At 57.9% G+C, this 13,962-nt stretch overlaps 1 protein-coding gene across 6 annotated transcripts in view; it reads left to right on the top strand.

Moving 5' to 3' along the window:
* Nucleotides 1-13,962, top strand: part of ARHGAP39 (Rho GTPase activating protein 39) — a 171,184-nt gene that overhangs the window by 155,719 nt on the left and 1,503 nt on the right. For 4 of the 6 annotated variants that reach the window (XM_011517308.2, NM_025251.3, XM_017013870.3 and 1 more), the window contains 5 exons: nucleotides 6,831-6,923; nucleotides 10,442-10,515; nucleotides 11,319-11,518; nucleotides 12,248-12,339; nucleotides 13,773-13,942. In XM_011517308.2, the coding sequence (XP_011515610.1) occupies nucleotides 6,831-6,923; nucleotides 10,442-10,515; nucleotides 11,319-11,518; nucleotides 12,248-12,339; nucleotides 13,773-13,942 (629 nt within the window). The remainder of the gene's footprint in view (nucleotides 1-6,830; nucleotides 6,924-10,441; nucleotides 10,516-11,318; nucleotides 11,519-12,247; nucleotides 12,340-13,772; nucleotides 13,943-13,962) is intronic. The other 2 variants (NM_001308208.2, NM_001308207.1) reach the window with 1 other exon arrangement.

Genomic DNA, 13,962 nt, shown 5'->3' with positions numbered 1-13,962 from the left:
TCCAAGACGATGCTTCAGGTGTGCTGGGCCCAGGCCATGGTGCCATCCGCCAGACAGCCCCGTGTCTGCAGCAAGCAGCTCTCCACCTCACATCATGGGTATCTACAGGGCACAGCCACAGAACTGATATCCAGAAATGCACGCGCACACACACACACATGCACGCACGCACACACACCCTCCAGGTCAGACATGCCATAGACTGTTCTGTGGCAGTGAGAGCCCACCCTGGTCTGGCCTTTGCCTCTGCAGAGATTGAGCCCCTGGTCAGGGCCTTGCTGGGCCTTACCCCTATTACCCCCAGCCCAGGTGTGGAGGAGGTGGCTCCCAAGCTGCTGTGGGCACACAGAGGCAGGGTGGAGGCCACAGGGCAGTGGGAGGTTCCTGGGGACAGTGTTGGGTATAGGCACCACCCAGCCCATCAGCTGTTTGTGGGGAGATTTTGGAAGCCATGCAGTTTCACCCGACTTTTCAACACAAGATCACAGCAGAGGCAGAGTTTGGCAGGTGGCCGGGGCTCCAGGTGTGCAGAGGAGGACCAGAGCAGGGTGCCAGGCAGACTGGGCTGGCCTGTGAAGCCCAGTCCCTGGTCTTGGGCCCTTCAAGAAGCAGGTGGAATTCTAGGGGCTGTGTTCCTCTTGGCATCATAGTTCACCTCCTCTTCCTCTTCCAGAGGGGCCTGGGAATGTCGTGCCTGAGCTGGAGGCTATGGAGCTGAGCCCCCACTGCTCAGCACAGCATGCAGCCCACAGTGGGTACCCCCGAGAGTAGGCAAGTGAGGGCCAGAAGACAGCCAGACAAAGGCCTGAGGTTTCTTGGGCCCATCTTGGGCCAGCTGCCTAGCCAATGTGTGGCTGGGCTGTTTCTGCTGTATGTAAGTAGAGGCTGTGGCTTCCTAGGGGAGTGTGTGCTCCAGGCTGCTGCCCTTCACACTTAGGCTCGTGTGCCTTTGTCCTTGTGCCTTACACCTGTGGGGTCCTGGCCTGCATGGAAAAAGGAATCAGGCTTCAGCCTGGGCGGCCGTGGCTTCAGAGCTCTGCCAAAGAAGGCCCATGAAGGCCAACAGCACCGTCTGGGTTGGAGTGACAGCGGGGCTGGGGCTCTGTGCAGTCCCACTGGCAGGTAGCCTGCATCTTGGCTGTGGTACTGTGGCCACCCTCACAGCCAGAACCTCATCTCCAGCCCCAGGATCCACTCCTAGGTTCGTCTGTCAGGGTCCCTGATTGGCCCTGAGCCCAGAAGAGAGGCCTCTACATACACAGTGGCCATTCCTTCCCAAATGAGCCTCACACCCCCTCCAGCCAGCCTCCTGTGCCTAGGAGGTGTCCCTTTCACATGCAGGTGCTGGCTGCTGCTCAGAAAGACAGGCCCAGCCAGGCACAGTGGCTCACACCTGGAATCCCAGCACTCTGGGCCAAGGCAAGAGGATCCCTTGAGCCTGGGAGTTTGAGACCAGCCTGGGCAACAAAGTGAGACCCTGTCTTTATGAAAAATTTTAAAAAGGAAATTAGCCAAGCATGGTGGTGTATGCTTGTGGTCCCAACTACTTGGGAGGCTGAGGCAGGAGGATTGCTTGAGCCCAGGAGGTTAAGTCTGCAGTGAGTCATGATCGTACCACTGCACTCCTGCACTCCAGCCTGGGCAACAGAGCAAGACCCCCAGCCTGGGCAACAGAGCAAGACCCCCCTTTTTTTTTGGAGTTAGAGTCTCGCTCTGTTGCCCAGGCTGGAGTTCAGGAGTGCAGTGGTGCAATCATGACTCACTGCAACCTCTGCCTCCTGGGTTCAAGCGATTGTCCTGCCTCAGCCTCCCGTGTAGCAGGGACCACAGGTGCGCGCCACCATACCCAGCTAGTTTTTGTATTTTTAGTAGAGACGGGGTTTCACCACGTTGGCCAGGATGGTCTCAAACTGCTGACCTGAGTTGATCCACCCACCTGAGTTTCCCAAAGTGCTGGGATTAGAGGCGTGAGCCATTGTGCCCGGCCAAGACTCCGTCGAAGTGGGGGTGGGGGGGCGGGTAGGAAAAAGAAAGAAAGAAAAGCAGGAAGGAAGAGAAGAGAAAGGAAAGAAAGACAGGCCCTATCAGCCGAGGAGGATGTCGGATATAGCCTGTACTGTGGAGGGCCAGCTAGGCTGCAGCACAGTTCTTAGAAAAAGGAAACTGTAGCCTAGGGACCCTCGGTGAGGAGCAGAGCTGAGCCTGGTGCGTCGCCCTGAGCACCCTGCCTGCCTCAGCCTCAGGAGCCTTTGACTCATCGGCCAGCACCTGCGTGACCTGCACTGTGTGGTCACCACCCTCGGGGACTGAGGCCCCACGAGGTGATGCCCCCAGCTTAGCCTTGTCTCATGGGTGCTCACACCTTTCACACCAGCAGGGGGTCTCCTGGCTGGTCCCCAGGACCTCCCTCAACAGGTTCTCGACACAGACATCGAGGAGCACCTGGCAGTGGGTATGGTAGCCTCCAGCTCTCCCACCTGCTCCACTTCTGTGTATTTTGGAAGGCTGGAGACTCCTAAAGGTTTCATTCACTGCTCGCTTCTTCATGCATCCAACAAGGTCTCCCGGCTTCCAGCTCAAGATGGCGGATTGAACATGGGCATTTGCTTCACCTTTGCCTTGAACTCACTAAAACAGCAGTGAAGCCATTTTTTAAAGGCAAAAAAAAAAAACCCAGAAAGGAATGTAAAATGGTACAGCCACTGTGGAAACTGGTAGGCAGTTCCTCAAATAATTAAAAATATAATTCCCATATCATCTAGCATTTCCACTTCCAGAATGACCCAGAAGAGCTGGGAGCCAGGACTGTAATGGTGATTTGTACACCTCGTTCACAGCAGCTCTTATAACTAAAAGGTGGGAACATGACAAGGATCCATCAGCAGCTGAATGGAGAAACAGAACGTGTCCAGCCACAAAATGGAAAATTATTTCCAGCCTTAAAAAGGAAGGAAATGTTGATAGACGCGCATGGATGAACCTTGAGGGCATCATGCTAAAGGCAAGAAGCCAGTCAGGATAGAGATTGTAGGATTCTCCCTCCGTGAGGCCCTAGAGCAGTCAGATTCCCAGAGACAGAAACTAGAATGGTGGGTGCCACGGCTGAGGGAGGGAGAAGCGGGGAGTGAGGTCTGCTTTGGAAAGATGAAAAAGTTCTGGAGATGGCCAGTGGTGATAGTTGTACAACAATGTAAATGTACTTAATGTCACAGAACTGTCTGTTTTTAAATGGTTAAAGTGGTAAATTTTATGTGTATTTTACCAAACTTTTAAAAACACAAAGAAAAAGAAAATGGAAAAGGAAGAACAGCTGTTTTAGAAGGTGGAGCATGTGGACCACAAACGGTAAATCCTGGGCCGATGGTGGGAAACGGAAAAGCTGAAGCAGGCAGCAAACCCTTAGAAGCTCACAAATGCTTCTAGCAAAGGGGGAAGAGGGTGACCCTGAAGCTGGAAACAAAGGATTGGTTAAAACTGCTTAAGAAGCAAAGGAGTCCAGGCGCGGTGGCTCACGCCTGTCATCCCAGCACTTTGGGAGGCGGAGGCCGGTGGATCACTGAGGCCAAGAGTTCGAGACCAGCCTGGCCAACATGGTGAAACCCCATCTTTACTAAAAATACAAAAATTAGTCAGGCATGGTGGCGGGCGCCTGTAATCCCAGGCACTCAGGAGGCTGAGGCAGGAGAATCACTTGAACCCAGGAGGCGGAGGTTGCAGTGAGCCGAGATCTTGCCATTGCACTCTAGCCTGGGCAACAGAGCAAGACTGTTTCAAATTAATTAATTATGTCTTTTATTTATCCCCAGACAGGGACTTCGTTTCAAATAAATATTTCTTTTTTTTTTCCAGACAGGTTCTCACTGTATTGCCCAGGGAAGTGCAGTGGTGACGTCACTGCTCACTGTAGCCTCCACCTCTCAGGCTCGTGGGATCCTCCCACCTCAGCCTCCCGAGTAGCTGGGGCCACAGGCACTACCAAGCCCAGCTAATTTTTTTCTTAAGTTTTGTAGAGACAGGGTTTCACCATGTTGGCCAGGCTGATCTCGAACTCCTAGGCTCAAGTGATTCTCCCACCTTAGCCTCCCAAAGTGCTGGGATCACAGATGTAAGCCACCAAGCCTGGCCTCATATTTCTATATACTAGCAACAAATTATTAGAAGCTGATATTTTAAAATAATCATTTGCAGTTGCATGTATTTATTTATTTAGAGACAGGGTCTCCAGGGTGGAGTACAGTCGCATGTATTTATTTATTCTGAGACTCTGTGGCCCAGGGTGGTGCACAGTGCTGTGATAGCTCACTGTAGCCTCCAACTCTTGGGCTCAAGCTATGATCCCCCTGCCTCAACATCTCGAGTAGCTAGGACAACAGGCCTGAACCACCGCACCTGGCTAATGTAATTTTTTTGGAGAGATGAAGTTTTGCAATGTTGCCCCATCTCATCTTTAACTCCTTGCCTCAAGTGATCCTTCTGCCTCAGCTTCTCTGTGCCTGCCTGCAGTAGCATTTTAAAATATGACATACTTAGAGATAGATCTGACAAAGGACATGTAAGACCTGTACAGTAAAAACTGCAAACCATTGCTGAAAGTAAAGCAGTAAAGTAGACGGAGAGGTCTGCTGTGCTTATGAATCAGAAGGCAATACTGTTAGGCCATCAGTTCTACCAAATCGACGCATAGATTAAATCTGAATGCAAATTGTACCACTTTTTTTTGTTTTAGAAATTGACAGGCTGATTCTAAAATGCATAGGAACTACAAAGGACCTAGAATAGCCAAAACCCCTTTGAAAAAATAGAGTTGGAGGACTTACACCACCTGACTTGTTATAAAGCTAGACTAACGAGAGTGTGGCACTAGCCTTGAGGTAGACAGTGGGTCAGTGCCACAGAGAGCAAGTTTAGAAACAGACCCATGGATGGATGAGCCAGCTTTCCACAGTGCTGCAAAGGCAACTTAGTGAAGAAAAGACAGTCTTTTCCTTCGATGATGCTGGGAAAACCGGATATCCAAATGCAAACAAAAGATGAATTTCAACGCATATTTTGAAGTGTACACAAAAAATAACTGCAAATGGATCACTCGTAAACCAAGATATAAAACCTAAAACTATAAAACTTCTGGAACAAAACAGGAGAAAATGCTTGCTCTCCTGAGGGAGGCAAAGATTTTTATATATAATTCCAAAAGTACTATCTATAAAAGAAAAACATGGATAAATTGGACTTCGTCAAAATTAAGTCTCCTACAAAAGACTGTTAAAAGAATGAGAAGATACACCAGTCACAGACACGCAAAGGGAGGAAGCCGGGGCGACTGTCGGCGGTAGTGGAATCAAGTTAGAGGCCATGTTTAGCTCTGTATGTTGAGGAGACAGATGGCCACATACAGAAATATTTACAGATGTGCATGTGAACAGGAGTTAGCGTGCACACAGGGGCTTCCTCATTCTGTCAGCTGAGAGGACCTGCAAGCAGTGGTTTCCTGGCAGCAGTAAGCACATCGCACACCCAGATCTTGGTTTCTAAATACCATTTTCCATTAAAACGATCCAGAGTTCCTTGGAGAAATGGGTGATTCCAGGGCTGGTGCGGGGCATATACGAGATGTAGTCAAAAGTGAGGAAGTGCCGGAGGTGGGGGTGACGCCTGTCACAGGGACACAGGGGCCAGCGGAAGGAGTTCCCAGTGGCCAAGGCTGGAGCAAGTTGAGCAACAAGATAAAGACCCATTGGATTATAACCCAAGTATAAAGTAAAATCCATAAGTAGGCCGGGCGCAGTGGCTCACACCTGTAATCCCAGCACTTTGGGAGGCCGAGGTGGGTGGATCATTTGAGGTCAAGAGTTCAAGACCAGCCTGGCCAACATGGTGAAACCCCATCTCTACCAAAAGTACAAAAATTAGTCAGATGTGGTGGTGCATGCCTGTAATTCCAACTACTCAGGAGACTGAGGTGGGAATCTCTTGAACCCGGGAGGTGGAGGCTGCGGTGGGTGGAGGTTGCAGTGAGCTGAGATCGCACCACTCACTCCAGCCTGGGTGACACAGACCCTATCTCAAAAAGAAGAAAAAACTAAGTCCATACTGATATAAATGAGTAATTCAATAGGTAGGAATAGACAAATCTGTGCAGAATAATGACAAATAATTTACGTACATATCCACCCTCCAGGAGCTGGAGCCTAACTCCACCCCTCAGGTGTGGGCCGGGCACAGTGACTCCTCCTACAGAGTGTGGCACGGAGCAGGAGGAGGAGACGGTACCTCACAGGAGCCTGCCAGCCGTGACCTCAGCTAGGTCATCGAGGCCAGTGGCAACACTGCGGAGTTACGCTGTGCAGAGCGGGAGGCAGACCCAGATCAGCCTGAGGGGAGCCCCCTCCTCTCTGACTGCAGCACCTGGCTTGGGGCCAGCTGCCTTCGCCCACTTGTTTCTGTTGGTTTTCTGACCGGCAGGCAGGGGGCCCAGGCCATGGCTGCCCCAGCCTTGCTGCCAGCCAGAGGGCAGAAGCTGCCTGCTCTCCTCCTGCTCCCCAGGCGCCTTCCCTGTGTTCTCCTCCTGCTCCCCTGGCGCCTTCCCTGCACCTCCACTCACGCCAGCACAGGCACGGCAGCTTCCCAGCCCACACAGTGCTCAGAAGGGCCCCCGGCACCTCTCTGCCACTCACACAGCCACGTCCCCCCAGAAACGCTCAGCCCCCAGCTGCACAGGGTGAGCCCCCAACAGGCCCAGGGGCCTGCTCACCAGCCAAGTGCGGGAGCTGAGTGGGCGCTGGCTCCTGGCGTTTTGTTCTGTCGTGCTGATGGTTGTCTTTGCTCCCCAGTGACACAGCACATAAAAGAGCTCCTGGAAAGAAACACTAAGAAGAAGTCCAAATTGAGAAAGAAACCCAAGCCTTATGTTGAAGAGCCGGATGGTAGGGCCTCTCCCCGCAGCCCCTGGGCGCGGCGTCTGCACAGCTCTGCTCTCCAGCCTCGGCCGCCTGGCCTTCTCTTCTCTAACCGCTTCTGGGCGGGGGGGATGGGGCCACTAACCTCAGGCCTGTGGCCTCCTGAGCGAGCTGGAGGGCCCAGGTGACTGACTGGACCCCTGGAGCGGTCAAGCCTGTCCACACGTGTCTTTGTGGTGTCCAGAGCCATTTCCAACTTGCTTGCTGGGTTCTTGATGGGGTGGGGGCATGATAACTTGCCGGCTGAGGGCTCCTGGAGGTGCCCCCAGGTGAGTGTTTGGGCCTGACCCCCACAGGGAAGTTTGCAGGTGGAGGGGTGTGTGGTGCCCTGCAGACAAGCACCCCTCAGTCCTGTCTTCCCGCCCAGGGCTGCCCCTGGGCCACAAGAGCCAAGCCTGGTGTTCAGAATCTGCAAGGAGTCGTCCCCTGCTTTGATGGTGGGCCCCTAGCACAGCCCCAGAAGCAGGGGGAGGGCTTCCCCACCCTCCCCACCAGCACCCTTCCCACCCACACTCTCACACAGCTTCCACCTCTCTACCTTCCCCCAGGCCCTGGCTCAGGAAAGCCCTGTGAACCCAGGGCTGTGCTCTCCCTTTTGAGAGCTACGCTGTCAGACCAAGTCAGCTCCGCGCTCACACCCATGCACACACAGGCTTCCAGGGCCGTCCTCCCGACCCCTGCAGTGTGGTCCTGCCAGTTAGTGCCTCACGCCCACTCATCTGTCTAGAGCTCCGCCACCACCTCTCTGCTCCACTTCCTTTGAGACCACTTGGCTTAGGCACCTCTTCCTCCAGGAAGCCATCCCTGACTGCATGCTGCCCATGCAGGCCCAGAACAGTGCCAGCGAGCTTTCTGTGGATGAGGTTTGCTTAGGGCCAACTCTGGGACCAGCAGGAGGCTACAGGGGCACGAAGGGCCCTCGTGGGGAATGCCAGGATGGCATCTGCTGGGCTAGGGACTTGTCCTCACCCTGGCACCTCCGAGGCTGCCACCAGCAGGTCTGTGCCAGGGGTCCCTGGCCCAGTCCCGAGTCACCCAGCCTGGCCTCACCCAGGACCCTGGGAGAAGAGGGCCAGCTGCAATGTAGGGGTGAGATTCCTGGCCACAGACGTCCTCAGACCACTCCATCTGGGGCAGCGTAGAAGGAGCTTTGCGCTCCTACCTGAGCTGGCGTCCGGTGGCCTGAGAGCTGGACCGACACCGCTGGCCATAAAAGCCTCCTGGCTGCAGCCAGGCGGAGCAGGGAGCAGACTCCCCTGTGCCTGGAGTGGAGCCCAGTGGGACATTGCGGCCCAGGGTGTGTCAGGTGGGGAGCAGGGTCAACATCAGGAGGCCCTGGCCACACCTGGTGGCCTGGGAGACCTGTGACCTGGTCCTGTAGCTCTAAGGTCCCCGGGGCAGGCCTGGCCCCCGAGCAGAGTAGCACAGGCCTTAGGAGAGCTGCTGCTGTTGGTGCCTCTGTGGGCAGCCGTCCCTCCTGGGCTTGCCTACAGCCGGAGGGGGATGGAGATGAGGGCTGAGGTCCAGGCAAGGCCGGATCAGGGCAGTGGGCTCAGAGCAGAGCACCCCACACAGGTGAGGGTCTCCCTGGGCTGGCGATGGGCACTGCCCACTATCCCACTGCAGGTCAGCAGACACCTTGGTGCCTGGCCCTGTGCCTGAGGCAGCGTGAGTGCAGTCATCCCCACCTTCCTAGACCTTAGGGCACAGGCAGCCTGACCCCCAGAGTGAAGTTGCAGGTGAAGTAGTGTGGCCTCAGTCCCTGGCCTGCCCACTACAGTTGTGACACCGGCAGCTGCCTGCTGAGCACTGCAACAGACAGGCATTGTCACAGTCCCCATCCTACAGAGGAGTAAACTGAGGCACAGAGAGACTGCATTATGATCACCTTCATCAGCTGAGAGGCGGTGGCCCCAGTGTATCCCAGTCACAGAGTGTTGGAGGGTGTCCCAGTCCCAAGCAGGCTCAGGCTGGGGTGTTTGTCCCACCAGGGGCCTGGGGACAGGAGATCAGGGCCTGTCTTCCCGCAGGGACAGCAAGCAGGAGGCCCAGCCCTGCCGTCTGCCCCAGGCCCCCCAGCCTAGTGACTACATGTCCCAGCTGCTGAGCTGAGGCCCTGGGTTTCTGCCGCCTTCCTGCAAAGCTCATTCCCTCCTTGCCTTCTTGAGGCTCTGAAGCCTGGGTCCAGTGTGCGTGGGCACCATCCATTCTAGAAAAACAAGGGTACCTCATAGCCTGCCCAGAGGGGCCCTTGGTTCCACATGGTCCCACGCTGGAGGCTGGGGCCACATCCTCTGCCAAGACCTGTGGTCCCAAGGACCATGACAGATTTTCTAGGACCTAAACGTCTATGAAAAAAAAAATTCATTTTGGTTCCTCTAAAAAAGAGTCTCCTTAGCAGTCACATGTCAACTATTCTGTGATAATTAGAGATGGACTCAAGACACGTGTGCACTTTTTTTTAACCTGGTCCAAGGACCCCATGCCCTCAGCTGTCCACCAGAAACTGCTCCTTCAAAGAAGACAAAGGTGTTCCGATTGGGGGTCAGGATCCAGAGGCCCCCCTCACCCTGGCAGGCGGTAGGCGCTGGGCGCTGGGGCAGGTCTCATGTCCAGAAGCACAGGGTCCTGTCCATCTGTCCGAGGTCCATGGCTCCCCTGGCCCCAGACAGCTTCTCTTGGCGTGTTCTCTCATCTGCTGCTTCCCGACCTGGAGCAGGAAGGTGCCGCGCCTTCCAGACCCAGCCTGGGAATCCTCTCCCCTCTAGCACCTTCCCCTGGGCTCTGTGTCTGGAGACTCCCCAGGCTGAGGTCCCTGAGTCCCTCATCAGGTGCTGACTCAGGCACACTGCCCCTCCCCTCAGGGACCCTGCTGTCGGGCTGAGTTTTAGGAAGCCCCTCCTTTGAGAAAGGAGACTGGGCCCTCTCATTGCTGCCTCAGTCCTTCAGAAGAGCCCAGAGGTGGTACTTCAGGCCCAGGGCTGCAGCAGAGCTGGGCTTGCTGTGCAGATAGCTCAGTGCCTGCCTCCCCCAGCACTGGCTGCGGGTGCTGGGTAGGTGGAAATGACTCCTCCAGGGGCTCCTGCCCACAGCCTAAAAGCCAGGGAGGGGCCTGAAGCAGAGAAGAGTCAAATACCTGGACAGCTCCCTGGGTCAGGCCCCGGGGAGGGAGCAGTGGGGTCTAGAGGCCCTCAGACCCAGGTCCTGCCCTTCCTGTTCCTGCGTGGCCGTAGGAGGGCAGGTGGAGCTGCCAGGCGGTTCCTCCCAAGCCTGTCCCTCTGCAGGTGGGGAAGTGCTCCTTGGGCCTCTGCTCTAAAGGACACTGCCTGGGAGAGTGTGAGGACCCGCTGTGCTGGGCAGGGGGTGACCGGGGCAAGGCCAGCCCAGCCCCCCAGGGCCCTCGAAGGAGCTGTGTCTGCTCACCCCTCTCCTGGCCCCACACCCACACACCCACATCAGGCTGATCAGGCCCCTTTCCTTTCCAGGGGTGGCGATAAGCACGTATGCCAAGTACTGTTACCACAAGCTACAGAAGGCAGCCCTGACCGGGGCCAAGAAGGTACGGGTGCGCCTGGGGGGCCGGGGAGGGCAGGCGGGGACACAGAGACCCTTGGTGGACAGCCCCAGGAGCCCCGCCTGCAGTTTGGTATGGGGCAGCAGCGCAGAGGGTGCCACATGGAGCCCGCCTAGGCGGGTGGCGGGGTACGCTAGGCTGACCCCGTGTTCTTCTGGGCTGCACCCTCCCCCGGGGGCTCTTCCTGGGCCCGGACCCCCAGCTCAGGAGCAAGGCAGGCAACGGGCTCAGTCACACCGCACCACAGGGACAGGACCCCGTTCCCTGGACCTGTCCCAAGAGCCTGGCCCCTTCCCCACATCCTCTTCTCTCTGATGCGCTGCTCCCATCATACCCCTCCCCAGCGCTCTCAGCCCTGCCACAGACTTCTGGAAGTTTCACCCCAGCTCAGCTAGCTTGGCCTCTGCTGTGCTCCCCAACAGCCCTGGCCGGCCCAGGACTCACTCCCACCTTCCCAAGGGCCCCTGTGAGCTGGTGCTGTAGACGGTGACTCTGGCCAGGGAGCTGGGCTTGTCCGTAGCTCTAGTTGGAGCCAGGAGTTCACAGGGATGAGAGGAGGGGGAGGCAGAGCCAGGGGCAGCCCAGGAGGAGTTAGGGTTTGGGGGGCGAGGAGGGCTGGTCCAGGGATGGACAGTGGCCTGGGGAAACACCACACTCGGACCCAGGTGTGTGGGGCAGGAATTCTGAAGAGCGCCACCCACCTATGTTCGGGGAAAGAAGACAACCGGGGTGGCGGGGGGTCCTGAGGATGGCCAGGCCAGACCAGGACGGAGCCTCTGTCTTCACAGGGGCTGAAGAAGCCCAACGTGGAGGAGATCCGGCATGCCAAGAACGCCGTGTTCAGCCCGTCCATGTTCGGCAGCGCACTGCAGGAGGTCATGGGCATGCAGAGAGAGCGCTACCCCGAGCGCCAGCTGCCCTGGGTGCAGACACGGCTCTCTGAGGAGGTGCTGGCGCTCAACGGTGACCAGACAGAGGGCATCTTCAGGTGCCACGGCAACCCCGGGCGCCGGGTGTGGGGGCCACAGCCATGTGTCCACCATGCATCTGTGGCATGCAGGGGCCATTAAGCCTCAGGCCCACTGGGCTGCTTCCGCACCCATACCTGAGAGCAGATGGAAGGGTGGGGCCACAGTGTGGAAGCTGACCCTGAGGGTGTGCAGGCCAGGAGAGAGGGCAGGACCCATTCCAAAGAGGCAGCACAGCCAGCCAGGGAGGGCGCCCCTGCAGAGACGGCCACCAGGGGTCCAGAGCGTGCTTGGACACCAGCCATGGGTAGCCTGGAGTGGGAGCCTCAGATGACAGGCAGCCCTTGTCTGTGAACAGGGATGGCACAGGGTGCCACCCACTCCCATGACTCACCTGTCAGGGCAAGGGGTACCCAGGCCCCAGGAGGGCAGCTGGGGAAACTGAGGCTTGCAGGTTGAGCCCCAGTGGCCCTTTGGTGAGGGCATCCACCCAGGGAGCCAGCAGGGGTCCAGGGAGGGACGGTGGCCTGGGGAAGCACCACACTCGGACGCAGGTGTGTGGGGCAGGAATCCTGAAGAGCGCCACCCACCCACGTTCGTGGGAAAGAGGCCAACCGGGGTGGCGGGGGGTCCTGAGGTTTTGCTCCCCTCCCCGGGTCAGCAGGGGCCTACCGGAGGGAGTGTCCAGGCGGAATCATGAAGCCGCAGCACAGGCTCCTGTTGCCTGAGACCTGCCCTGTGCCCTGCAGGGTCCCTGGGGACATTGACGAGGTGAATGCCCTGAAGCTGCAGGTGGACCAGTGGAAGGTGCCCACAGGCCTGGAAGACCCCCACGTCCCTGGTGAGTCCCCCACACACGCTGCAGCAGAGCGGGCCTGGCTCAGGCAGTGGTTCTCAGGGGCCCCTGTCTCCGCCTCTGGGGTCCACCCTGATCCTGCCCAGTGATGTGATGGCTTCCCAGTCACTTCTAGCACATCCTCCCTTCTGCCCATTGGACAGTTTCCCCAGGTGTCTGCTGGGCACCCCGAGGCCTACCTGTGCAATGCAGCCCACTCCCCACCTGCTGCTCCCTGCCCTGTGCCCTTCTGCCGTGCCTGCTATGTCTAGCCTACTCCCCACCTGCTGCTCCCTGCCCTGTGCCCTTCTGCCGTGCCTGCTATGTCTAGCCTACTCCCCACCTGCTGCTCCCTGCCCTGTGCCCTTCTGCCGTGCCTGCTATGTCTAGCCCACTCCCCACCTGCTGCTCCCTGCCCTGTGCCCTTCTGCCGTGCCTGCTATGTCTAGCCCACTCCCCACCTGCTGCTCGCTGCCCTGTGCCCTTCTGCCGTGCCTGCTATGTCTAGCCCACTCCCCACCTGCTGCTCCCTGCCCTGTGCCCTTCTGCCGTGCCTGCTATGTCTAGCCCACTCCCCACCTGCTGCTCCCTGCCCTGTGCCCTTCTGCCGTGCCTGCTATGTCTAGCCTACTCCCCACCTGCTGCTCCCTGCCCTGTGCCCTTCTGCCGTGCCTGCTATGTCTAGCCCACTCCCCACCTGCTGCTCCCTGCCCTGTGCCCTTCTGCCGTGCCTGCTATGTCTAGCCCACTCCCCACCTGCTGCTCCCTGCCCTGTGCCCTTCTGCCGTGCCTGCTATGTCTAGCCCACTCCCCACCTGCTGCTCGCTGCCCTGTGCCCTTCTGCCGTGCCTGCTATGTCTAGCCCACTCCCCACCTGCTGCTCCCTGCCCTGTGCCCTTCTGCCGTGCCTGCTATGTCTAGCCCACTCCCCACCTGCTGCTCGCTGCCCTGTGCCCTTCTGCCGTGCCTGCTATGTCTAGCCTACTCCCCACCTGCTGCTCCCTGCCCTGTGCCCTTCTGCCGTGCCTGCTATGTCTAGCCCACTCCCCACCTGCTGCTCGCTGCCCTGTGCCCTTCTGCCGTGCCTGCTATGTCTAGCCCACTCCCCACCTGCTGCTCTCTGCCCTGTGCCCTTCAGCTGTGCCTGCTCTGCAGACACCCCCTCACGGTGGCTACACAGACGACTCCTGAGAAAAATCCTGTTTTGCACAACTCTGCTGGCGTGACCCACATGCCTCCAGGATCGAGTTCAGGCCCCCAGGAGCCGAAAGGCCCTCTGGGGTCAGGGCCCAGCCTGGCCAGATGGGCCCTGTCCAGAATGAGCCGGCCCTCCCAGCCTGTCCCCCACAGCACCCCTCCATGCATGTCCGCCACGGGACCCCATTTGGCCCAGGGGTGCCCGCCGAGCAGGGCCGCTGAGCCCCGTGCTGTGTCCCCAGCGTCCCTGCTGAAGCTGTGGTACCGGGAGCTGGAGGAGCCCCTGATCCCGCACGAGTTCTACGAGCAGTGCATCGCGCACTACGACAGCCCCGAGGCGGCGGTGGCCGTGGTGCACGCGCTGCCCCGCATCAACCGCATGGTGCTGTGCTACCTCATCCGCTTCCTGCAGGTACTTCCCTCCCCGGGGGT

Source organism: Homo sapiens, chromosome 8 (genome assembly GCF_000001405.40).
Source record: "Homo sapiens chromosome 8, GRCh38.p14 Primary Assembly".
In the NCBI taxonomy this organism is placed as follows: domain Eukaryota; kingdom Metazoa; phylum Chordata; class Mammalia; order Primates; family Hominidae; genus Homo; species Homo sapiens.
This window is presented reverse-complemented; position numbering and strand designations above follow the sequence as displayed.